Source organism: Homo sapiens, chromosome 2 (assembly GCF_000001405.40).
Source record: "Homo sapiens chromosome 2, GRCh38.p14 Primary Assembly".
Taxonomy (NCBI): domain Eukaryota; kingdom Metazoa; phylum Chordata; class Mammalia; order Primates; family Hominidae; genus Homo; species Homo sapiens.
Genome location: NC_000002.12, coordinates 188,113,925 through 188,138,605, shown reverse-complemented (window position 1 = coordinate 188,138,605; position 24,681 = coordinate 188,113,925). Strand labels below are relative to the sequence as shown.

Sequence of the window (24,681 nt, the reverse complement as noted above, 5' to 3'; positions counted from 1 at the left end):
AAAATCTTCATTAGAAAGGCAAGGGGAACTAGCAGCAGAGGAAAACTAAAGAAATTCATTGTGCTTGAGACTAACCTATTTAAGAAGGAGAAATTGCTGACACATCTCTTCAAGAGGATCATATCTCATATATTTGGAGGATGAAAGAATTTGCAGCTAAAGGAATTAGCTTTAGGCTGTATTTAAATCTCACAAACAGTCTCAATGCCATGTGTACAATTGCAATATCTTGTCCAAAGTACATATTTTTTTCCCAATTTTTGAGAATACAATTTTATACTTTGAGTATAATTTTCTCTTTTATGTATTTTTTCAAATAAACTTTATATTTTAGAAAAAATGTTGATATACAGAAAAGTTGTGCTATTAGTCCACAGTGTAGGATTCTCATATACCCACACTGTTTCCCCACTTGTTAAAATTTTATATTAGCATCTTAATTTTGTTGCAATTGATGAAATGACATTGATACATTTTTATTGACTAAAGTCCATACTCTTTATTCAGATTCCCTTAGTTTCAAACCTAATGTCCTTTTTCTTTTTCCAGAATCATATCCGGGATACCACAATACATTTAGTTGTCATGTCTCCTTGTCTCCTTAGGTGCTGCTTGACTGTGACAGTTTCTTTTCTTTTTCTTTTTGTTTGTTTGTCGAGATGGAGTCTTGCTCTGTTGCCCAGGCTGGAGTGGAGTGCAGTGGCACAATTTCAGCTCACTGCAACCTCTGCCTCCCAGGTTCAAGCAATTCTCCTGCCTCAGCCTCCCAAGTAGCTGGGGTTACAGGCACCAACCACCATGCCCAGCTAATTTTAAAAATATTTTTAGCAGAGATGGGGTTTCACCATGTTGGTCTCAAACTCCTGACCTCAGGTGATCTGCCGCCTTGGCCTCCCAAAGTGCTGGGATTACAGGTGTGAGCCACTGCACCTGGCCGATGGTGACAATTTCTTATACTTTCCTTGTTGTTGATGGCTTTAACAGTTTTGAAGAGTATAAGTGAGGTATTTTGTAGAATGTCTTTCAATTTGGATTTCGCTGATGTTTTCCTTATGATTAGATTGGGGCTTGTGGATTTGGGGGATGAAGACCACACAGGTAAAATACCATTTTTGTCATAGCGTAGCAAAGGTATATACTATCATTGTGACTTACTTTGAACACCTGGTTGAGGTAGTGTTTGTCAAGTTTGTCCATTGTTAAGCTTTTCTTTGTTTCTCTCTTTCCATTCTGTTCCTTTTGGAAAGAAGTCACTATACACAGCCCATACTTAAGTGAAAATTACACTTTATTTTCTTGAGGGCAGAATGTCTAGATAAATTATTGGGAATTCTTCTGTATGGGAGATTTCTATTCATCCAAAATAAAAAATTATTCAATCATTTATTTGTATCAGTAGGGACTCAGGTGTTTATTTACTACTATGGGTTATAATCCAATACTACTTCATTTATTTTCTTGCTCAAATTGCTTTAGCCATTGACAGCTCTTTCAGTTGGCTCTTGTGTTCCTTTGGCATAATCCCATCATCGTGTTTAAATTTTTTCTTTGTAAATTTTTGAGCACTTCTTTACTTTATGGCAATATAAGGTACCATAATCTCATTTTTAAGTTTTCTGCCCCTGTTGTAGAACCAGCCATTTCTCCAAAGAGCCTGGTTGCTTTTGCTTTTATTGGAGAATGGTGTTAGAAACCAAACTCTAGGCATGAGGGGTTCTCATGGCTACTAGAGTGTTGTTGCCTCCAGCCTTTCTCAGCTGACAGAACAAAGGAATACATGTGTATATACATGTAGCTATAAATATATATATAAACCATCTGTGTATTAAGCTAAACATATTAATAAGTCTGTAGTAATGTCTTCAATTCCAGTCCATTACCACATAAATCGTTCTACCCTCTTCTCTTTGCTTACTTGTAATCTTCTGCTCTAAAAGTGAAACACCTGGCTTCTATCATCTACCATTTATTTACTAATTGTTCAATTTTAGTATATATGTATAGTTCTGTCATTGTTTAACACATACCCCCGTGAAGATTAAATCTGTCAGCTCACATATTATCCATATATACAATTTATTTTGCCTTTAGCCATACAGATTCCAGTTATATGCAAAGTTTTTCAGTTCAGCACTTTTTTCTCCACCCCTTTCAGTGGGGTTCTTTCATATATTTGTAATACAGTCAGATTGTTTTATCACAGCCTACATTCCATCCTACAATACTTTGACCTCCTAAATATTTTCTAAAATTTGCATACATTAAGATTCTAACTTCTCAGGTAGCCTGCAGGTTTTTTTCTTTTCTTTAATTTGTTACCCATATAGTTCTGTTTATCCAGAGTGGTTTTTTCCCACTCACTGTTTACTTAGCAAGATCCTATTCATTCTTCAGGTCACACTTATTTCAGTATTTTAGAAAAGGGTTTCCTTGACACATCACTATAAAATACTTCTTTTTTAGGTCCTTCCATATATTCCTGGCATTTTTCTAGATTTTTTTTCTTCTATACACTGCTAAATGAAAATTTCCATTCCAATTATACACAAAAATACAAATGAAAAGCTATACATTTTCTTTTAAATATTCACTTTAAACTTTGAAGTTGTTGCCCAACCTTACTATCTGTTTATCTATTTTAACTCAGAGTGAGGGCTTCTCAGTGTTACAAAATCCAATTATTTCTCTATTTGTTAAATCTTTTTGAAATTTTGATCACCAAGACCAGTAAATGCTTCTGGGAATACTATCCAAGGCTACGTTTGTATACAAAAAAGTCAAGATAAAATATTCAGTCAAGAGGTCCAGTGAACTTTTTTCAGAGATTTTATGTACTAAGTTTAATGGTTTAAAAATAAAACATTAGCACTTGACAGAATTACATCACTACAAATAAAAGGAAGAAATCACTTTCTTTGGCTTTTAGATCAAGCTAATAGGTTTTAGTAATACTTATGAATCTTATTCTTCTGATTTTAACTTTGAGATTTTTCCCTTACTTTTTTATGAGAAGAAAGACTACATTTAATGCAGCAGCAAGAGGAGGGATATATCCTGAATCTGAGTGATAAAATCACATCCATAAAATTCAAGACTGCTGATGTAGGGACAAAGTTTATCTCACCCCTTCCATTTCATAGTCACATTTTGTGTCCAGTTTTGTATAGCATCTCTCCTTCAAATGTGATGGGGTAGTCTGATGTTAACTTCAGCCGCATATGATGAAGATAGATTCCTCTCATGATTTTTCCAATCTTTTTCCTACTTGTAGAACATCCCACTAATTAGATGAAAAAGTGTTGTTTTGCTGACAACTCAAGGAAGGACAGAAAGTGATTTTCAATGCATCTCACTTTGATTGGCATACACATTTGGTGGTAAAATCTTGTTGCTTTTTTTATGGTTCCCCCTAGATTCTCTTCCCATGTCACCCTCAGCACTGTCTTAGATGTCATTTACTCTAGAACTATTTCTGTTACTATCACTTCACAAGATAGTTTTTCAATACTGTTCTTTTTAAACATGCCCCTTCAATATACCCTCGTTTCTACTGTCAAAAGTATTCTAGCATGAGTTATTTTTAACATATTACAACCACCCTAACACCTGGAAGTTTATCTCTAGCTTCCCATTTCACTATACATTCAGTTCCAGCTTCTTATTTTAAGATCAAAGTCCTGCTACCAAATGATATGTATTTCTTCCCCTTTACTTTCTATTTCCAAACAATTTTCTGAACCTATTTCCAGGAAACCTATTGTCACTTTTTCTCTACTCTCATTTTGAATTTTTCCCATACCAAAACAATGTCATATGCCTGGGGTTATGTTCCTGTAAACACAACCAGAGTCCCTGAATCTTTATCTTTCTCTCTCTCTCAGTCTCTTTTTCCCTCTCTCAGTCTCTTTCTCCTTCCTGAAATAGTGTCTAACATTTCACCTATTTCAGAAAACCTTTCTAGATTGATTACAAAATCTTTCTAGATTGATGGATGGAGGGGTCCTCCTGAATTGGAAGGATGTTCAAATATTGGTGTTTAAAAATCCACACATTTGTACATTACAGTAGCTTTCTACCTTTTTGTCATTGTTTTAAATTGTGGCCTAGGAAATAGGAAACATATTTTTATTACTCTTGTATGATAACTTGCCAAGTTTAGGCATGATTTTGCATTTTTGGACATGCTATTAAGGTTATCATTGCTTCATTGTGAATGCATCTATTCACAGTGTAAGAGGAAATTTTCCATTGTGAGTTATCATTTAATGGTGATATGAATACAACGATTTAAGCTTCTTAAACATTTTAAAATAAGATGTGTATACTATGAAAATGTCATTTGGTTTCAAATCTTTGTCTTATCTTTGGTGTCTTATTGATTAGAAGGTCAAAATAGGACTCGTAAATTTACGTATCATATATTAGCTTAATTACATGTTTCTAATGTACAATCTGCTGGATTTTATTGGCAGGGTATATCACAACTTTTAATGAGCCACATCTTGCACCAGTCCACACTTTGAAACAGAAAGAAAGCAAGTAATTAAATCAGGTTTCCTACATTTAAACACATTGGACTGATTAGATACTTTGGTTTAATTTTCTGGGAAAAGATAGAAAGTTTTAAATTGAATTAGTTATTTACATTGTGTTTTTCATTTATGTGAAGGGTAAATTTATTATGGATATTAAAAAGAAACTTAGCATGTCTTTGCCTTTAAGCAAAATATATGAATGTTTGCATCATATAGAAATTGACTGCATATGTGCATGTATGTGTATTTTTAAAATTATTGAATTCCCCAGATATTTAATTAAAAATGCATATACATTTATATATTCATTAGATTCTCAAAGAGGGTCTGATCAGAAAAAATTCACAATAATATATTTATTTTAGTCACTTATTTTCCTTTTTTACTACTTAATAATTTTAATAAAGTGGTAAGTCACCTAGTTATTAAAAAACAATATTTTGCATTTGTATACAAATGTATAAAATAATATCTGTATACTATCACCATATTTATTTATTTTCTTAAAATTTATTTGGTGGAAGATGAGGTAAAAATGCATGTGTAAACTGTACATTTATAGTTTACATATATATTGTTTGTAAGTTCATCAAGATATTTATATATATATATATGGGGTTAAAATGTTAATAATGCAGTCTAAACTTAAAAATGTGTAAGTTCTGTAGATTTTACAATGTAAATAGAATATTTAAAATGGAAGGGATATTTTTCCAGTATTCAAAACTATTGCCCAATTAAGCAAAGTAGTCATTCACATTACTGACAAACACAGAAAAATATTAGCCCAAACTGTTCATCATTACTGAAAAAAATAACACAGAATACATGTTTTATTGATATGAATAACTTATTACTCCAAAATTACTGCTCTAAAATAATACTTGTTTCCTTTTTAAGTCTTTCTGTATATCAACTGCTCTTTATATGTGATCTACTTTTATATTTACGTGTAATTATATATGTACTTACACATTTAAAGACAATTCACACATTTAAAGAGCCATCTTCTTCCCAGTTCCACTGACCATTATTAAGATTTTTAAGTTTTTACTTACATAATTATTGACTGCTTTCTTTACTGTATTATCTTGGTTGGGTTCTCTACTGAAACATACACTCCAAGTACATATCGCTTTTCTACCAGATCGTCTTCAGGCTAGAGTTGGGAAATTCCTTAAAGAACCAAAAAAGCAAACACACACACATTCACACTGAACAGTATTTGTAACTGTGATATTTATTTAAAAATTCACAATAGTCCATAGGAATGATTTATAATTCATTTGGTGTATTAAAATTTTATTTAACCTTCAACAGGTGAAACTCAAGCTTCGAAATGTAGAAATCTGTAGTGAACATGTTTCAACTGAGGATAATTTGGAGCAGGGCCAGTGGGGATTTTATTTTATGGTGGTGGCAAGAGAGGAGAGTCTGGTGGCAGGCAATGAGTATCCAGCTGTGTTGGCAAAGTTCAAATATTCGCAGCCCCAGTGGTGATAGCTGTGAGCGTCCATCTGGACAATGGCCAAGTGCTATGCAATCTGTGTTTGGCTCTGGACACCGCTTTGTATTCCAGCCTTCCTACTGGTTCTCTCGTTTCCCTATGACATTCCTACATTTATGCATAGGTTAACTAAGGTCAGAATTTGGTTTACTTTTTTCATTTAATATCAAAAAACATTGATTTGATTAATTGCTATATTTTCACATTTAGGGCAACTAACATCCCATGCCAGATGAGAGTTTTCTCTTATATTGGCCACTACTATTCTGCCTCTCAAGATTCCTATTCATTCTCCTTTCTGTCATATAAAAATTAATTTTAAATTAAACAATGGGATCTTGAACTGAATATGGAGATTCATTGGGATTCTATATCTGTGAGATATAAAAGCATAGTGAGTCTCTGGACAATGAAACACCTTTGCCATATATGGTTATCCAAAGGAAGGGGCAATATTATTTTCCAAGCTGTACCAAAAACATATGTTCTTCTCTAAAAAAGAGAATAGTTAGAATCAACATTTTGATTGACAACTAGGCATAAAAGGAGTTAGTTCTGTATTAAAGTCTTTCTGTTCTTTAGTACAGCTCAACTTTTAAAAACTTTATAATATCCTCATCATATAACTATTTCATGTCCACTGTTCTAAATATTAATGACATTGAAAACTAACCATTTGTGATAAACAAATGTTTCCTGAGACAAAAGAGACTTTACTACTATTACATAAAAGTTTAGTGAGCATTTGCAAATCGTCAACTATATTCAAGATAATACTCCTGTTTATGTTCAGATTCAAATAATCAATCCTTTTAACTAGTAAATTAGGCATTTTGTTCCAATTATTTGTTTAGTTTAAACAGCTGCAAGTCTTTAATAAAATAATTATTTGTAATAGGAACCTGATGAGCTGGAATATCAGAATGTGCCATTATTAGTTGTAGACATTAACTCTCTTTTTGTCTAATAAGTAAGGGAGTGGACTTATTCTCTTAACAGAGAGAGCTTGATGACTGGATGAAATGTCGAATTTCCATTTTCAAATGAGCAGTTTCTAAGGTAGGAAAAAAATATTGCACAATCTAACCATATTCTTTGGTATTAAACACATCTCCTGAGAACATTGAGAGAAAAGACCATATTTGCTAAAAATGTATAATTCAAAGCTGGGAATGTTCATTAAATAGAGTTAAGGATATTATCCCCAGGTAGAAGGAGCAAATAAGAACATGGATGAGAGAAAAGCCTGGATTCTGCAGTAAAATAGAAGGAGGACAATCCCAGAGGGAAAGAAATAATAGCTATGTTTTAATTGCTCAGGGGACAGTGGTTAGTGGGGTCTGTAGGTGACTTTGGATTGGAGATTTCATTTGACCCGGACCCTGATGGAAATAGGTAATAGTAATTAACACTTTAACACTTTGCAGTGGTTACAATGGGCTAGGTATTATTCTATGATATAGCTAGATGATAGATAGATAGATAGATAGATAGATAGATAGATAGATAGATACACACACATACATGTGTATGTATGTGTGTATACATACATGTGTATATATGTGTATATATATATACACATCCATATATGTGTGTGTGTGTATATATATATATATATATATATGTCCAGTCACTTAATGCTCACAACAATTCTATGAGTTTGGTCCTATTAGTATTCTTAATATACAAATGAAGAAATTAAGGTAACAAGACATTAAGAAACTTACACAAGAACATACAGCTCCAACAGCTAGTCATATAGACTGGCTTCAGCACCAGTACCTTTCATTCTACAGCCCATTCTCAGATCAATTGCTCTACCCGCAGCTCTGCTAAAGGGGTGGACTTTACAGGTAATGTTTCTGAATTATTAAACTCTGCTTCTGTTTCATGCCTTGAGAGGGAGGTAAGGAGGTGAACAAAGAATAGTAATTTGGAGCTTTGTGCAAATATTCAAGCTGAGCCAGTGAGATTCCCTCTTATGAGTGGGAATTAAAGAATGCACAGAGAGTAGGCCAGTGAGCAGCAGAGATTGCAGCTCAATTGTCATGGTATAGAGAAGAATCTGAAGAGGCCCTGGTGGCCATGGGCAGAAAATAAAAATAGGCTCAGGAATCTGGCTGGCAGAGAAAGAATTGAGAGAACACAGTAGAGCAATGGGGAGCCAGAGACACCATGAGAGAGAAGTAGACAGAGCAGCTCATCCCATTCCAGGCAGCATGTGTCTTTATAATTAATACAAGAGAGAATTTGAGAGTATATATGTTTCTGTGTAACTCTTATCATTAGTTATATCGTTGGGAGCAACTGGGAGTTTTCAAACAGAAGGATAAAGTGATCTGGCAGATGATACAGTATAAAAAGACAGCAGAGGATGCAGATTGGAAAGGGAAAAACTAAGAGCAAGATGTTCACTATAGAAGGTTATGGCTATAGTTGAGATAAAAGAGTAATTTCATTAAAAATGGATCAGAAAATGATTATGAAGACTTATCTGACTTCGTTCTCATGCCAACTTATTCATTCACTCATTTGCTCATAGATTCCTAGAAATAAGTTCTTGACAAACTATTCTCCTCTTGTCTTTCTCGTTATAAGCACTATCCTTAAAGTCAACAAATTTCAAATTTTTTTGTCAACATACATTTACTACTATGCCAGTTTCTGGGAACACTAAGATAAACATCTAAGTTCTTATCTTCAGTGAGTACATACACTGTCTAGTGAAGATGTATAGACTATTAACAAACAGGAACAGATTATTCATAGAAGGGGCAACATTCCCAAACTAACAAAATGTGGAAAACTTTTAAAAGGAGATGATACTGAATTAGAAGCTGGAGGATAAGTTGTCTAACATTCTGAAATTCGTTGACTTCGAGGATAGTGCTTATAATGAGAAAAACAGCAGGAGAAAAGTTTATCAAGAATTTCTTTCTAGGAATCTATGTGAAAATTTGTTGAGATGGGGGAGGTAGATGACGTGGAACACCAATAAACTATTTTCTTAACTTTTCTTTTATTTATTTATTTATTATTATTATACTTTAAGTTTTAGGGTACATGTGCACAATGTGCAGGTTAGTTACATATGTATACATGTGCCATGCTGGTGTGCTGCACCCACTAACTCATCATCTAGCATTAGGTATATCTCCCAATGCCATCCCTCCCCCCTCCCCCCACCCCACAACAGTCCCCATAGTGTGATGTTCCCCTTCCTGTGTCCATGTGTTCTCATTGTTCAATTCCAACCTATGAGTGAGAATATGTGGTGTTTGGTTTTTTGTCCTTGCGACAGTTTACTGAGAATGATGATTTCCAATTTCATCCATGTCCCTACAAAGGACATGAACTCATCATTTTTTATGGCTGCATAGTATTCCATGGTGTATATGTGCCACATTTTCTTAATCCAGTCTATCATTGTTGGACATTTGGGTTGGTTCCAAGTCTTTGCTATTGTGAATAATGCCGCAATAAACATACGTGTGCATGTGTCTTTATAGCAGCATGATTTATAGTCCTTTGGGTATATACCCAGTAATGGGATAGCTGGGTCAAATGGTATTTCCAGTTCTAGATCCCTGAGGAATCGCCACACTGACTTCCACAATGGTTGAACTAGTTTACAGTCCCACCAACAGTGTAAAAGTGTTCCTATTTCTCCACATCCTCTCCAGCACCTGTTGTTTCCTGACTTTTTAATGATTGCCATTCTAACTGGTGTGAGATGGTATCTCATTGTGGTTTTGATTTGCAGTTCTCTGATGGCCAGTGATGGTGAGCATTTTTTCATGTGTCTTTTGGCTGCATAAATGTCTTCTTTTGAGAAGTGTCTGTTCATGTCCTTTGCCCACTTTTTGATGGGGTTGTTTGTTTTTTTCTTGTAAATTTGTTTGAGTTCATTGTAGATTCTGGATATTAGCCCTTTGTCAGATAAGTAGGTTGCAAAAATTTTCTCCAATTTTGTAGGTTGCCTGTTCACTCTGATGGTAGTTTCTTTTGCTGTGCAGAAGCTCTTTAGTTTAATTAGATCCCATTTGTCAATTTTGGCTTTTGTTGCCATTGCTTTTGGTGTTTTAGACATGAAGTCCTTGCCCATGCCTATGTCCTGAATGGTAATGCCTAGGTTTTCTTCTAGGGTTTTTATGGTTTTAGGTCTAACATTTAAGTCTTTAATCCATCTTGAATTGATTTTTGTATAAGGTGTAAGGAAGGGATCCAGTTTCAGCTTTCTACATATGACTAGCCAGTTTTCCCAGCACCATTTATTAAACAGGGAATCCTTTCCCCATTGCTTGTTTTTGTCAGGTTTGTCAAAGATCAGATAGTTGTAGATATGTGGCGTTATTTCTGAGGGCTCTATTCTGTTCCATTGATCTATATCTCTGTTTTGGTACCAGTACCATGCTGTTTTGGTTACTGTAGCCTTGTAGTATAGTTTGAAGTCAGGTAGTGTGATGCCTCCAGCTTTGTTCTTTTGGCTTAGGATTGACTTGGCGATGTGGGCTCTTTGTTGGTTCCCTATGAACTTTAAAGTAGTTTTTTCCAATTCTGTGAAGAAAGTCATTGGTAGCTTGATGGGGATGGCATTGAATCTGTAAATTACCTTGGGCAGTATGGCCATTTTCACGATATTGATTCTTCCTACCCATGAGCATGGAATGTTCTTCCATTTGTTTGTATCCTCTTTTATTTCGTTGAGCAGTGGTTTGTAGTTCTCCTTGAAGAGGTCCTTCACATCCCTTGTAAGTTGGATTCCTAGGTATTTTATTCTCTTTGAAGCAATTGTGAATGGGAGTTCACTCATGATTTGGCTCTCTGTTTGTCTGTTGTTGGTGTATAAGAATGCTTGTGATTTTTGTACATTGATTTTGTATCCTGAGACTTTGCTGAAGTTGCTTATCAGCTTAAGGAGATTTTGGGCTGAGACAATGGGGTTTTCTAGATATACAATCATGTCATATGCAAACAGGGACAATTTGACTTCCTCTTTTCCTAATTGAATACCCTTTATTTCCTTCTCCTGCCTGATTGCCCTGGCCAGAACTTCCAACACTATGTTGAATAGGAGTAGTGAGAGAGGGCATCCCTGTCTTGTGCCAGTTTTCAAAGGGAATGCTTCCAGTTTTTGCCCATTCAGTATGATATTGGCTGTGGGTTTGTCATAGATAGCTCTTATTATTTTGAAATATGTCCCATCAATACCTGATTTATTGAGAGTTTTTAGCATGAAGGGTTGTTGAATTTTGTCAAAGGCCTTTTCTGCATCTATTGAGATAATCATATGGTTTTTGTCTTTGGCTCTGTTTATATGCTGGATTACATTTATTGATTTGCGTATATTGAACCAGCCTTGCATCCCAGGGATGAAGCCCACTTGATCATGGTGGATAAGCTTTTTGATGTGCTGCTGGATTCGTTTTGCCAGTATTTTATTGAGGATTTTTGCATCAATGTTCATCAAGGATATTGGTCTAAAATTGTCTTTTTTGGTTGTGTCTCTGCCCGGCTTTGGTATCAGAATGATGCTGGCCTCATAAAATGAGTTAGGGAGGATTCCCTCTTTTTCTATTGATTGGAATAGTTTCAGAAGGAATGGTACCAGTTCCTCCTTGTACCTCTGGTAGAATTCAGCTGTGAATCCATTCCGTCCTGGACTCTTTTTGGTTGGTAAGCTATTGATTATTGCCACAATTTCAGCTCCTGTTATTGGTCTATTCAGAGATTCAACTTCTTCCTGGTTTAGTCTTGGGAGGGTGTATGTGTCGAGGAATTTATCCATTTCTTCTAGATTTTCTAGTTTATTTGCGTAGAGGTGTTTGTAGTATTCTCTGATGGTAGTTTGTATTTCTGTGGGATCGGTGGTGATATCCCCTTTATCATTTTTTATTGTGTCTATTTGATTCTTCTCTCTTTTTTTCTTTATAAGTCTTGCTAGCGGTCTATCAATTTTGTTGATCCTTTCAAAAAACCAGCTCCTGGATTCATTAATTTTTTGAAGGGTTTTTTGTGTCTCTATTTCCTTTAGTTCTGCTCTGATTTTAGTTAATTCTTGCCTTCTGCTAGCTTTTGAATGTGTTTGCTCTTGCTTTTCTAGTTCTTTTAATTGTGATGTTAGGGTGTCAATTTTGGATCTTTCCTGCTTTCTCTTGTGGGCATTTAGTGCTATAAATTTCCCTCTACACACTGCTTTGAATGCGTCCCAGAGATTCTGGTATGTTGTGTCTTTGTTCTCGTTGGTTTCAAAGAACATCTTTATTTCTGCCTTCATTTCATTATGTACCCAGTAGTCATTCAGGAGCAGGTTGTTCAGTTTCCATGTAGTTGAGCGGCTTTGAGTGAGATTCTTAATCCTGAGTTCTAGTTTGATTGCACTGTGGTCTGAGAGATAGTTTGTTATAATTTCTGTTCTTTTACATTTGCTGAGGAGAGCTTTACTTCCAACTATGTGGTCAATTTTGGAATAGGTGTGGTGTGGTGCTGAAAAAAATTTATATTCTGTTGATTTGGGGTGGAGAGTTCTGTAGATGTCTATTAGGTCCACTTGGTGCAGAGCTGAGTTCAATTCCTGGGTATCCTTGTTGACTTTCTGTCTCGTTGATCTGTCTAATGTTGACAGTGGGGTGTTAAAGTCTCCCATTATTAATGTGTGGGAGTCTAAGTCTCTTTGTAGGTCACTCAGGACTTGCTTTATGAATCTGGGTGCTCCTGTATTGGGTGCATATATATTTAGGATAGTTAGCTCTTCTTGTTGAATTGATCCCTTTACCATTATGTAATGGCCTTCTTTGTCTCTTTTGATCTTTGTTGGTTTAAAGTCTGTTTTATCAGAGACTAGGATTGCAACCCCTGCTTTTTTTGTTTTCCATTTGCTTGGTAGATCTTCCTCCATCCTTTTATTTTGAGCCTATGTGTGTCTCTGCACGTGAGATGGGTTTCCCGAATACAGCACACTGATGGGTCTTGACTCTTTATCCAATTTGCCAGTCTGTGTCTTTTAATTGGAGCATTTAGTCCATTTACATTTAAAGTTAATATTGTTATGTATGAATTTGATCCTGTCATTATGATGTTAGCTGGTTATTTTGCTTGTTAGTTGATGCAGTTTCTTCCTAGTCTGGATGGTCTTTACATTTTGGCATGATTTTGCAGCGGCTGGTACCGGTTGTTCCTTTCCATGTTTAGTGCTTCCTTCAGGAGCTCTTGTAAGGCAGGCCTGGTGGTGACAAAATCTCTCAGCATCTGCTTGTCTGTAAGGTATTTTATTTCTCCTTCACTTATGAAGCTTAGTTTGGCTGGATATGAAATTCTGGGTTGAAAATTCTTTTCTTTAAGAATGTTGAAGATTGGCCCCCACTCTCTTCTGGCTTGTAGGGTTTCTGCCGAGAGATCCACTGGAAGTCTGATGGGCTTCCCTTTGAGTGTAACCCGACCTTTCTCTCTGGCTGCCCTTAACATTTTTTCCTTCATTTCAACTTTGGTGAATCTGACAATTATGTGTCTTGGAGTTGCTCTTCTCGAGGAGTATCTTTGTGGCGTTCTCTGTATTTCCTGAATCTGAACGTTGGCCTGCCTTGCTAGATTGGGGAAGTTCTCCTGGATAATATCCTGCAGAGTGTTTTCCAACTTGGTTCCATTCTCCCCATCACTTTCAGGTACACCAATCAGACGTAGATTTGGTCTTTTCACATAGTCCCATATTTCTTGGAGGCTTTGCTCATTTCTTTTTATTCTTTTTTCTCTAACCTTCCCTTCTCGCTTCATTTCATTCATTTCATCTTCCATTGCTGATACCCTTTCTTCCAGTTGATCGCGTCGGCTCCTGAGGCTTCTGCATTCTTCACGTAGTTCTCGAGCCTTGGTTTTCAGCTCCATCAGCTCCTTTAAGCACTTCTCTGTATTGGTTATTCTAGTTATACATTCTTCTAAATTTTTTTCAAAGTTTTCAGCTTCTTTGCCTTTGGTTTGAATGTCCTCCCATAGCTCAGAGTAATTTGATCGTCTGAAGCCTTCTTCTCTCAGCTCCTCAAAGTCATTCTCCATCCAGCTTTGTTCCGTTGCTGGTGAGGAACTGCGTTCCTTTGGAGGAGGAGAGGCGCTCTGCGTTTTAGAGTTTCCAGTTTTTCTGTTCTGTTTTTTCCCCATCTTTGTGGTTTTATCTACTTTTGGTCTTTGATGATGGTGATGTACAGATGGGTTTTCGGTGTGGATGTCCTTTCTGTTTGTTAGTTTTCCTTCTAAGAGACAGGACCCTCAGCTGCAGGTCTGTTGGAATACCCTGCCGTGTGAGGTGTCAGTGTGCCCCTGCTGGGGGGTGCCTCCCAGTTAGGCTGCTCGGGGGTCAGGGGTCAGGGACCCACTTGAGGAGGCAGTCTGCCGGGTCTCAGATCTCCAGCTGCGTGCTGGGAGAACCACTGCTCTCTTCAAAGCTGTCAGACAGGGACACTTAAGTCTGCAGAGGTTACTGCTGTCTTTTTGTTTGTCTGTGCCCTGCCCCCAGAGGTGGAGCCTACAGAGGCAGGCAGGCCTCCTTGAGCTGTGGTGGGCTCCACCCAGTTCGGGCTTCCTGGCTGCTTTGTTTACCTAAGCAAGCCTGGGCAATGGCGGGCGCCCCTCCCCCAGCCTCGCTGCCGCCTTGCAGTTTGATCTCAGACTGCTGTGCTAGCAATCAGCGAGATTCCATGGGCGTAGGACCCTCCGAGCCAGGTGTGAGATATAATCTCGTGGTTCGCCGTTTTTTAAGCCGGTCTGAAAAGCGCAATATTCGGGTGGGAGTGACCCGATTTTCCAGGTGCGTCCGTCACCCCTTTCTTTGACTCGGAAAGGGAACTCCCTGACCCCTCGCGCTTCCCAAGTGAGGCAATGCCTCGCCCTGCTTCGGCTCGCGCACGGTGCGCGCACCCACTGACCTGCACCCACTGTCTGGCACTCCCTAGTGAGATGAACCCGGTACCTCAGATGGTAATGCAGAAATCACCCGTCTTCTGCGTCGCTCATCTTTAATTTTCATATTAAGTTTTCATATGAAGTTGTCCTTTCTGACAATAATTAGCCAATAGTTTTATTTGTTTTTATATTTATTCTTGCTTTTTGATAATAAATAAAACCAGCAATATGTAATACTTGTGTTGTCTACTTATTATAGGATATTAGTCTAAAATAGATTGTGGATTTTTTAGATATGTTAAAACCAATGGTAGAGCTAATTTATTCACTATACCATATAATAAAAACATTTTATCTGCCAGAAACTTCTTTGTCTGTGGCTTAGAGGAATATTATAGTACAGGCTTTGTTGATACAATAATAGCATATGATCTGTAGCAAGATTGTATATGCTGGAACACAGTCAGAATCTATTTGTGGAATCAAGGCAGGATCAATGAGCTCAGCAAAGAGCTTATTCTATTATTAGTCATTTTCTTGATAAGATGAGAGAGAGGTTAGACACAGTGGTGGCATAATTGTGTCTAAAATCTACTTGCTTCTCATGAAAGATTTTAAATTGAGTGATTTATTCTAATAAGCTGTAAAGAAAGAAGCTTAAATATAAATATGAAGGTGAGATAACTCATAAAAGTATAATCTACGGAGATGAGTGTTTATTTTCATGAAAATAAATTAGACTATATTTTGAGACTATCTTAAAACTGCTAGACTACTTTAAGGATGACTGGAATTCGTCTTTCAGAGGAAGATAGAAAAAATTATAATGGTAAGAGTTCCTTCATTTGGCCATTTCAGATTAAGGAGATTATGCATTTTACAGTAGATAAAGTTGTTGGAATCTAAAAATATAAGAAATTCAGGGAGATCTTCCAAAAACCATAAATTTGAGGGGAATACTTCACTAATACAGCAGTTTTCATTGTTAGAATTTCCAAATGGAACATTTGCTCTGGAGACAGAATCCAAAGATTCCCTTTCAAATCTATTATGTTAGAATTTGTTTTAATTATTTTGAATTGCTTAAAAATTACTTTAAAATCATTTTATTCAGTTTCATAATGTTTTCTTCTTGATATTTAAGCTTTATGATAGTTTAAGGAGCTTATGAAAACATGGATACATTTGGAATTAAGTATGACATAAGGAATTATCTAATTCAGCATTAACTTAGGTAAATTTGGGATCTTCAGTTCATTTGCCAAAGGATGTGTACTCCTCTAAGGTAAATGAAAAACCAATGTCCAGGCAACAGAAATATGCTACATTATCCAGATATACCTCTGAGTTAGCTACTTTTGGAGGATTAACAAATTTTTTTCACCTTTTGGGGAGAGAGGATATGTGAGAATTTGTTAGTTTTATAAAGGTGTTAGCATATTTCAGCTAAGAAAATGGTGGAGTCTCCATAGTAACTTCTGTTTTAGGCAAAGATTATATTTAAAATATTTCACATAATGTCCTGAGGAATCAGAAAGCTCACACTGAGCGAAGAGTTCATAGACAGTGATCTGGGCTACAAACAGACCTCAGAAATATTGCAGATTCAGTTCTAGACCACTGCAATAAAGTGAACATTGCAATAAAGAAATCCACACAAATTTTTTGGTTTTCCAGTGCATATAAAAGTTATGCTTACCCGGCCGGGCGCGGTGGCTCATGCCTGTAATCCCAGCACTTCGGGAGGCCAAGGCGGGCAGATCACGAGGCCAGGAGATCAAGACCATCCTGGCTAACACGGTGAAACCCCGTCTCTACTAAAAATACAAAAAAATTAGCTGGGCGTGGTGGCGGGCGCCTGTAGTCCCAGCTACTCGGGAGGCTGAGGCAGGAGAATGGCGTGAACCCGGGAGGTGGAGCTTGCAGTGAGCCAAGATCGCACCACTGCACTCCAGCCTGGGCAACAGAGCGAGACTCCATCTCAAAAAAAAAAAAAAAAAAAAAAAAAAGTTATGCTTACCCTATACTATAGTTTTTAAAGTATGCAATACCATTATATCTAGAACACAAAAGTACATATCTTAATTAAAAATATTTTATTGTTATAAAATGCTATCAATCATCTGAGCTTTCAGTATCATACTCTTTTTGCTGGCAGAGGGTTTTGCTTTTATGTTGATGGTTGCTGACTGATCAGGGTGCTGGTTGCTGAAGGTTGGTGTGGCTGTGGAAACTTAAAATAGCACATTGAAATTTGCCAGGTCAATTAGGTTCTTATTTTCATGAAAGATTTCTTTCTGGTACATGATGCTGTTTGACAGCATTTTACCCACAGTAGAACTTCTTTTAAAATTAGAGTCAGTCCTCTCAAACCCTGCTACTGCTTTATCAAACAAATTTATAGAACATACTAAATTCCTTGTTGTTATTTTAACAATGTTCACAGCATCTTCACTGGGAGTAGAGCTATCCAAAGAAACCACTTTCTTTGCTCATTCATAAGAAGCAACTCTTCATCCATTCAAGGTGAACACTTAGAGACACGAAATGAGCATATGCTGTTGGAAAAATGGTAGGGGTAGATGTGCTCAACAAAGTCTTCCCACAAGAAGCACAATAAAACAAGGTAGGCCTGTAATGCCCTGTAGTATGACCCTGGCTTGCTTTCTTGCATCAATATTGCAATTTTAAAACTAAAACAATTTTAAGAAAGCATTCTAAGAGATAACATCTCAGTTTTCTTCGTGGATCTTACCTTCTTGAGGCAATGGTAGGAGTAACCCTGAGCTATATAGATTCCAAGAGGCAGAGGAACTGATGGAGGGACCCTTAAGGAATCTAGAAACTCCATGGAGAGTATTATTTTGTTGCTAGAAACTGCAGTGTGTTTGTGATTTTCAACCACAAACACATGCTGTCTGGGCTCAGGACCTCAGAGGTAGGTGTAGGAAACTTTAATAATATATTAAACTACTTTGGAGAGCTCCAGAATCCTTCCACTTATTCAGTTTCTGATATGAGTCAAGAATACAACTGAGGCTGGGCACGGTGGGTCACACCTGTAATCCCAGCACTTTGGGAGGCCGAGGCGGCGGATCACGAGGTCAGGAGATCGAGACCATACTGGCTAACACGGTGAAACCCCGTCTCTACTAAAAATACAAAAAATTAGCCGGGCGAGGTGGCGGGCGCCTGTAGTCCTAGCTATTCGGGAGGCTGAGGCAAGGGAATGGCGTGAACCCCAGGGGGCGGAGCCTGCAGTGAGCCGAGATCACGCCACTGCACTCCAGCCTGGGCGACAGCGAGACTCTGTCTCAAAAAAAAAAAAAAAAAAAAAAAAATACAACTGAGCCAGGTTCTGGGGTTTTGAACTTGGAGTAGGGGAGACAAATAACTAAAAAGCACTATTGTTCTCATGGGGTATCCTCTTTAGAGCCTCTTTTTTTCAGCGTCCCCCAATTTATATGGCTACTAATATTGTTTGGTTCTGCGTCCCCACCCAAATCTCATGTTGAATTGTAATCCTCACGTGTCAGTGGAGGGGCCTGGTGGGAGGTGATTGGATCCTGGGGGCAGATTTCCCCCATGTTGTTCTCGTGATAGTGAGTTCTCACGAGATTTGGTGGTTTAAAAGTGTGGCACTTCCCCCTTCACTCGCTTGCACTCTCTCCTGCTCCCACATGTGAAGATGTGCTCACTTCCCCTTCACCTTCTGCCATAATTGTAAGTTTCCTGAGGCCTCCCCAGCCATGCAGACTTTGAGTCAATTAAACATATTTTCTTTATGAATTACCCAGTCTCAGGTAGTTATTCATAGCTGTGTGAGAATGAACTAATACAGCTACTCTTCCATATCCTGTGGTTCCTGCATTAATAATCCTTCTCTCAGAAGAAAAGAACCCAGAACTCCCTATCCCTCACCTCACCCCTTGCATTAGAACACATGGAATGAAGCTGGGGCCTAAGAGTAGGTTAATAGAGAGCACACTGCTGCACCTGCTTCCAATCAACAGGCACGTGAGACTCCTAACTCCTTATAGGTTGTCTCTCTCAGCTCACCAGAATTTCCGGAGCCCAAGAGCTGTGCTCGTTTAGACTGAAGGAGAAAAAGCAGGAATTAGGGTTATGACTAAAATCCCTTTTTATATGAGATATTAAAGGAATGTCATCTTTTCTCTTTTTTCTCTTATTTTACCCCAGATAGTTAACATAAACCTTTCTGCTCTGACAAAGATTTACTACTCTGATAAGTGCATTTTACTTTTAATCTAAAATGTTTCTTAATGAAATAACTGACTAGTGTCAGAATGAAGACACTTTAGGTTTTATTGCTATATCTTGATTTATCTACTTCTAGCTGTGACATTGATTGATGTTTATAAAATCCCTAAGCCTCTACTGGCAACTATGCTCTTTATCTTAGAGCATATAATCAAAGAGGTGTGGGTAAAATTACGTAGGAAGAAAAAATTTCTTGACTTTAAAGAAAAAATTGTGTTAATAATGGCGATTTATATGCAAGGGAAACATTTGAGCAAACAGAATTTTTTTCTCTGATGTTTTAAACCCCAAACTTTGTTTTAATATTTTTTCCTTTTGCTTTCTAGCCTGCCAGTTGGCTACGTGGGTATATCTTAGTATCCATGTTATTGTTAGCACAATCATAGATCACTATTTGATTGACTCTGTTATTCCACATGGCAATAGCTGTGTGATTGTAGCCTTGTATTAAGAATCTAGTCATTTTATATTCTTAGAAGTTCTGAGATAAAGCATTGAAAGGTCGGCTAAGCATCAATCATTTAAAAAGTTGATAGTTGCATTAGTGGTATTCTTAATAGAGTGTTCTTTTGAAGACACACTTGTGATCATATACCACCTAGATATTAAAAGCACAGCTATTGGATAAATGTACTGACAATGAAATTCCAACAGCTATAAAAATATAAGCCCCTTATCAACAGCCAAATAAACTAAATTATGTTCTCGGTTAGGTCATTTGTTTTCCTGTTCATTCATTCCAGAATTTGGAGCCAAGTATCTGAATAACATTGCAACAGAGCCATACAATTATAGTCAGTAATAACATTCTTAAGATAATTAGGTGAAAATCTATTTGTGGTAAGTTGTAACAAAGCATAATTATACTGAATTTTAGGATAGGTAGAATATAAACTTAAAGTTTTCTATTCTCTTTCAAATTGATGTGATAACAAATAGGAGAGGCAACTTGAAGTTCTGGTTTATAGTTAGGACCTGTTTGCCAGTTAAGCCTGGACTTGAGTTATGCCCTGGTTGTAAACTCCCTCCTCTCCAAGCCTCATTTAAAAGTATTGGAGTAACTCTGGGAAGTCCTGTGAAAAACTGGGCAAAGCGATGAACTCTGATCCATACTTACTTCTGATAACCAGGTTACCCCAAGATGGTCAGAATATTCTGCTCTTCAACGAGAAAAATACCTAGTTTCTATCGAATAATAATCACTTGATAACTATTGGTTCTATATTCATTTCCACTTTTCCTTATTCTGAGGACTTATTTCTTTACTTCAATTTAGCTCTGGAAAGAGAAGGAAGAGCCATCTTAAATTACCACTCTTGGCAACTTTTCTGGACAATTAATAACTACATGGTAAATTTCAAATGCCATACATCAAGAATCCTGAAAACTGGAGCTAACCCAAAGTCCTGTAGTTTGGACTCTGGAGGCCACTAAGATAACTGATGGTGTTACTTTTATAAAACTCCCTCTCAAGCAGCCAGTCATGAATCAGGAAGATGGGAATGTCAGGCTACCAGGACGTTCAAGTCTGCCAGATTACCAGATAAGTTGAGCCATAAAGAGGAAAAAAATCCACACATTAGGGGATAGAAAAGATAGTTTATAAGCCAGGAACATGTAAAACCACAGATGATATCGACAACTTCTCAGAGAGTGGTAGCAGAAAACTACATGTTGTTAGAGTCAGGAAATTGTTGGAGATATGAAAAGGAGGCAGAACAGTACAGCATAGAATAAATTTTGCAGGTAGTTATTTGCCTGCATTTTATATTCTTTTTATTTTTTCTGCAGTCTTCTGTACTTCCTATAGGATGCCAATTGTGTATGCTCCCAGATTCTATGGGATATCTCATTTTGCTAGACTGCCAGGATTTGAATCTTGGCATGGCAAATTATTAGTTGTATAACCCCTATTCAAGAGTCTTAAATAGTTTTATATAGAAACTTAAGGTACTTTGTTTCCTTCTCTGTGAAATGGGTAAAATGATAATGTGTCCCTCATAGAGTAATTATAGGTGTTAAGTGAATAATTAATCAGGTAAATAATTTGGAATAGTGCCTGGCTCATCATAAGTTTCCAATAAGTGGTGGCTATCATTAATATTTATTATTGCTGTTAATAGCTCCACTAAAGGATAGGTATTCATTGACACATCATGAATTAATATTAAAAATGTTTACCAGTCCTGTATTATTTACCAAAAATATTGTTTTGCTTACTCTGTAATGATGAAAGTGATCACCATTAAGAAAATTTGGTGATTCATTTAAAAAGTATTTATTGAGTATCTATTAAGAAATACATTATGAAAAATGTGGAAGGAAGATTTTAAAAAATGAATAAATAAGAAACAATGCTCAAAGACATTATTTCTTGCAATTTAAGAGCCAATCATTATTATTTTAAACAAAAGCTACTAGTGAGAAGTGTTCTATAAAATAAATACAGAGAAACTTTCTTTCAGATAGTGTAATATCAGAAAAACAAGTTTCATAACAAGGAGGGTATATTCTCAAAAATGTATAGATTTTTCCGATTTATGTTGTGCAAAATATTTCACAGATTTCAAGATTTGTATTTTGTCAGTTTCTAGGGGTCGCTTAATAATGATGTGGATTCATTAAGGAGAAATCAAAGTCACCCATAGAGGTAAGTTAAAAGTCTTAAAAATAAGTCCTATGAGAAAAGCTAAAAGATTGAGATTATTGAGTTGGAAGAACTGATACTATAGTATGAATTAAAAAGTAAGCAAAGATTCCTTCAACAGAGATGATAGCCAGTCGTTGACTTCACTGAGGATTCAACAAGAAATCAGACCTTGAACAGGGATCTGTACATAAAAAAAGTTCAGTGAGCAAAGTAAGTTCACTGACAGCAGTATGGAGGATTTGGGTCATATCTCTGACAGTGATTTCTTTTAAACACTGAAGAGACTGGAAGTACTTTCAGCTTAGAACTGATAAATTCATCAACAATTAGAATGTTTACAGTTGGCAATAACTAAAAAGCCAGCTTGAACTTGCCCAATTTACTGGCTCTTGTAACAGAAGCAGATCATGCAAAGCCTGATCTAGTGGCTCAATGATGTCACTAAAAGCCTCATTTCTATCTCTGTGATTTACCTTAAAAGATACTGGCTTCATTTTAGGTGGAGACCAATGCTTCTAGGGCTACAGTTTTGTCTAGTTATACTCAGGGTAGAAGGAAACAGGAAAAAGAAGTCTTGATTGGATTAACCCAAGTAACTTGCTCCAAAAATGGAGCTGAGAAGATTCAGTTTCCCTTCTCCAATAGAAAGAAACCTAGAACCCTTAGGAAAGAGTTAGAGTCAATGCCAACAAAATACTAACAAATGCTCCAACCAGGTCCTATTATGCAGAAATGAATTTTAATTTTTGTTCAGTAGTTTTAGTAAAATTGTATGTAATTTAAAAAAGAGAATTAGATAAACCCCTACTCTTGCTGCAAAGGTATATTAATGTACTCTATGATTGAACTCTAAACCTGTGACAAGCTAAAGGGTTTAATGGAAATCTGAAAGATACTATCAGGAGACCTGGGGTCTAGCCCTGTCTCCAGTACTTGCTAATAGTCAAAATTCACCAAGTCATCTATTTTTTCATTCCATTCTAAAATGAATATCAGCTTTTGCCTTTTCTCCTTACCAAATAGTATTTATCAAGTGAGGTAATACATGAGAAATACTTTGTAAACTATATCATTCTATCTAAAATTAAGAAATATTGTTGTTCTAACTAAACATTAGAATTTTGCCATTGTCTAGTCTAAAGATTACCTTGAAATGTATTTTTTAAGAGCTTGCTGCACTAATAATATAGCTTGTCAAGGTTTTATTTCCTATGAGTTGTTGGAGACATTCACTTCCATAAATGAACTCCACATGTAGTTACTAAATGTATTGTGCTACTGTTAGTTTTTTAAATAAATTTATAATTATTAATAAAAACCACACTGGCCGGGCGCGGTGGCTCACGCTTGTAATCCCAGCACTTTGGGAGGCCGAGGCGGGCGGATCACGAGGTCAGCATCAAGACCATCCTGGCTAACACGGTGAAGCCCTATCTGTACTAAAAATACAAAAAATTAGCCGGGCATGGTGGCGGGTGCCCGTGGTCCCAGCTACTCGGGAAGCTGAGGCAGGAGAATGGCGCGAACCCAGGAGGCGGGGCTAGCAGCTGGCCGAGATCGTGCCACTGCACTCCAGCCTGAGCAACAGAGCAAGACTCCGTCTCAAAAAAATGAAAATAAAAATAAATAAATAAAAAATAAAAACCACACTGTATATTTCCTCTTTAGAAGGGATTTTAGTGCCTATTCTTGCATCTTGTTACTTTCGTTCTTTGTGTTAGGTTTAAAATATAGCACAATGGGAAAGGTTAGAGGTAGGACTCTTCTTCAATAAAGGTTTTTCCATAATTCAGAGCTTAAGAAATGAACCAGTGTCATTGTCTAACTGAAGTTCAATACCAAATAATTCACAGAAAGGTAATGAGCCATTTTAGACTGCTATTTGAATACAATCTAGTTATATAAAGCCATATAATTTGTATTACAATATATTTCCATCATTTCAAATTTTAGTTTGAAAAATTTGCTTTTTAAAATCATTTTAGGCATTATAATTTATAAAGTATTAATTTAAAGGATTATTCTTAGAACTGTTACTGGATTATTCTTAGAACTGTTACTGGCAGTTGTTAAAAATGGACCAAGCCTAGATTTCTATTTGTCTCTGCTTACCTATGCCCCATTACCTCAATATCTTATCCCCCCAATTCAGGTGATGTTAAAAATATGTCCTTTATATTATGCAATTATGCTTTAAAAAGTTAGAAATTATTATGTTTCTATTTGACATTCACCACTCTGTATTAGCTCATTTCAAAAAGACAAATGCTAGAATTCATTCCTTCTTTATGCCTTAACCTTTATTTTTAAATGTGCAAGATATTGTACTAAATGAGTGTAGATATTAAATTTTATAAGAATCATTCCTACCTTTCTGGCTTTCAAATCAGCATAGATATAAGACACAATTATTTTCAAGATATGTGATAAGAGTGGTAGCAAGCACAGGGGAAGTGAGGACAAACTCTGAGGAAGCAGGCATTGTTTCCATTTTTAACACATGAGAAAGAGCTCTTGCAGACAGTAGATGTTTATCTGGGCAGATTCATATGTGGCAATCTGAGTGGAAAGTGTATTCTCAACTGAGAGGAGGTTATGAGCACCTTCAGAGGCAGGAAGATATGTTGAATGTCGGTGTGGACTCACCAACTGGTCACCAGCTGGTTTAATTTGGCCTTCAGGGATATTTTGTTTGTTCTCAATCATAATTAAAATTCTTTAGAATTATTGCCAACATTAAAAAGCAGGAAAGTTCTCTGTTTCCAGTTTCTTATGAAAACGTGAAGATTTATCTACATTCCATATTCTGACATTCT

At 36.6% G+C, this 24,681-nt stretch overlaps 1 long non-coding RNA gene across 1 annotated transcript in view, besides 1 other annotated feature; it reads left to right on the top strand.

Annotated features, from left to right (window-relative positions):
- LINC01090 (long intergenic non-protein coding RNA 1090) overlaps positions 1-24,681 on the top strand; it is a 252,096-nt gene that overhangs the window by 149,086 nt on the left and 78,329 nt on the right. The gene's annotated exons all lie outside the window — the stretch shown is intronic.
- Positions 14,268-14,857: an enhancer, noted in NCBI's record as "OCT4-NANOG-H3K27ac-H3K4me1 hESC enhancer chr2:188988476-188989065 (GRCh37/hg19 assembly coordinates)". NCBI's record gives its function as "activates a minimal SCP1, AML or CMV promoter by ChIP-STARR-seq in naive and primed H9 embryonic stem cells {active_cell/tissue: H9 hESC(naive and primed)}" and the evidence as "EXISTENCE:reporter gene assay evidence [ECO:0000049][PMID:30033119]".